The following is a 3,001-nucleotide window of genomic DNA, read 5'->3' as shown; positions in this document are numbered from 1 at the left end:
GTAGGTATTTCTTGTTGGAAGAACAATACTCCTTCTTTTGAAGGAATATTTTAATAGTCTTTTCACATAATTGTTGACATTCTTTTATATTATATCATGACTCAAAAGTGAAAATTTTATAAAAGTATATTGCAACGTGGAATCTGAAACCGTATCAATAAACTTTTCACACTCTAGTACATTAAATCCACTTTAAATGGATCCTTTACCTATGCATGATTTTATAATATCTTGTATTGATTGGAAAATATTATTTCACTGAGTTATGTAATAGGCACATTTCCTTATATAATATTTTTTAAAATAACATTTGTTAATATCACCATGGATCTCATAAAAATTCTTTAAGTATTCAGAAGCTGTCAAGCTCACAGTAGTGGATACAAGTTTTCCAAAATTCTAATTTTCAGTTGAAAGCTCAGATTTTATCATTGGCACCAAATACCGTCAGGTTGTTTGCCTTCAAGTGACAGGCTCACTTCACTTATTTTCAAGAAAATGACTGCCAAATATCCAAGTATGAATAACCATATTTTGTTTATCACTTGTTCTTTCAAGCAAAAGTGGTATTCCACGAAAAAGAGACAAGTTCAGTTTGCAACTCAAACAATCACACATTGCTTTTCCTCAAGACAACCATTGTACTTGGGTATGCAGCAGAAGTGCTTTATGTGTTCTTTCCTTGTAGTCCCACAGAATACTTAAAAGATTTGTAACTCAAGTGTTGAGCTTTAAGAAAATGCATAAATTTTAACTGTTTCATTAGGGTATTCTTAAGCAAAACTTTTTAAACCTGTGAGATCATGGTGATGAAAGTGATGCAATGACATAATAAAATGATATGATACAATTTGGTAATTTTGCCTTGATTTATGCTAAAGAACTGATATGGTTTTGCTGTGTCACAACCCAAATCTCATCTTGAATTGTAGCTCCCACAATGCCCACATGTCATGGGAGGGACCTAGTGAGAGGTAATTGAATGATGGGGGTGAGTCTTTCTCATGACAGTGAATAAGTCTTATGAGATCTGATGGTTTTATAAAGAGGAGGTCCCCTGCAGAAGCTCTCTTTTTCTTGACTGTTGCCATCCATGTAAGACATGACTTGCTCCTCCTTGCCGTCTACCGTGATTTGTGAGGCCTCCCCAGTCATGTGGAACTGTGAGTCTATTAAACCTCATTTCTTTATAAATTACCCGGTCTCAGGTATGTCTTTATTAACAACATGATAACAGATGAATACAAGCACCAACAGTTTTACTCACCATTGCTTTGGCACCATTGGTGCAAATGTCAATACAGTAGAAAAAGCAAATACATCTTAATATTATTATGAAAATAATTTTGACCTCATGGATCCACTAAAAGAGTCTTTGGGATTTCCAGAATTGTGCAGATTATGCTTTGAAAACTGCTGCTTGTGGGGACTGGTTTTAAAAGAACCACAGTGTTACTGTGTCATAGCTCTTATTGGCTTCCTTTGGTAAGGTGTTTCAAGAAAGAGATGAACTCAGACAGAAATGGCTAGTTTCCAAGCCAGATGGAAAACAATAGAAAGTATCCAGACTTGAGTGAACGATGGTGGAAATCCATCTGCTTCTAGATCCCACACAGAACCACAAGGCCCAGAAAGACTTTTTAGCTGAACACTATGACTTAGATACAGATCAGATTAATGGCCAAAGAGAGCTGGAGAGAGAGAGAGAGAAAAAAAAAAAAGGAGAAAAGACCTGAGAATTGTACATAGAAGCAAATACAACAGAAGCCTACCAAGATTTTGAAGAACTTGTATTGTCAAGAAATCCAAAATATCTGATTAAAACAGCTTTGTCTGACCTTTAAAATCACCTTTTTACTTTGGCTACACTCATTTCAGCTGTGTCCAAAAGGAATAAATAAACAATAAGAACTTCTAAAGGGAAAGGCTGAGGGTCAAACAAGAAAAAGACAAAAGACTTATTTCCAGAGAGCAGAATTAAAATCTAATCCACAAATTTATCCTCTCCCCAGGCTAGGGGACATCTCGAGGCCTGCCAAACAGGATTGTAGAATTGTAGTGGCCTAGTGAACATGTACATCCTCTGATTCCCTTTTTTGAATGGGAATTTTAATTGTAGTTACGCTGTCCCTGCTCCACCACTGTATATACAGCAAGCCCATAACCAAACTCCACTCTCCCTTCCCTCACCTGCCTGCCAGATACAAGGGTTTGGGGGAAATTTTAAGCTACTAGGGGGTGGTATAACTACTAGAAGGAAGAAGCCTGGTCACCTGAATGAAGCAGATCCTGTCCACCAACCTGTGCTGGATTGTGACATGAACAAGAAATACATGTTTATTGTGCTAAACCACTGAGATTTTGGTTCCAGCATTTGCCACAAACATTCTTTATCACAACACTGAGAAGACTCTGAATAATATGGAGGCTATTCCATTGATCTGCCCGGAGGAACTGAACTATGGCAGTGGCAGAAATAAGAAGAAATACATATTTTAGAGGTAGAACCAATAAGCTATCACTAGTGGGATAGCAGAGCAGAATGAGGTAGAGTAAGGAGTCTGGGATGTGTTCCAGCTTTCTATCTTGGGTTAAAGTGGGTGGAGTTTTGGATGGCACTCAGAACAACCCAGTGAATTTATCCAATAGGCAGGAGCTTGGGACAGAGATGTGGAAAGCAGGCACATATAGGGCAATCATCAGCTTATAGGTGATGGTTGAAGCCATGAGGCAGGAGGAATAGTGGATAAAATATTTTGGGAAGACAGTTCAGAGGGAGAAGAGCACAGAGGTCGCTTAATGAACAGCAGAGAGAGCAGTCTGCAAAAGAGTGAAAAATGGACCCCTAGAAAGGAAAAAAAAAAGGCAGAAAAGGATAGGTCACAGAAACCAAAATAGAATTAAAGAGCACTTTAAAAACACTTTAAACACTTTAAATTAAAAGAACACTTTTAAGAACTGTGAAATGATAAACAATCAAATATGTCAAAAAGGTGAAATA

Source organism: Homo sapiens, chromosome 4 (assembly GCF_000001405.40).
Source record: "Homo sapiens chromosome 4, GRCh38.p14 Primary Assembly".
Classification (NCBI taxonomy): Eukaryota; Metazoa; Chordata; class Mammalia; order Primates; family Hominidae; genus Homo; species Homo sapiens.
Note: the sequence above shows the minus strand (reverse complement) of the source record.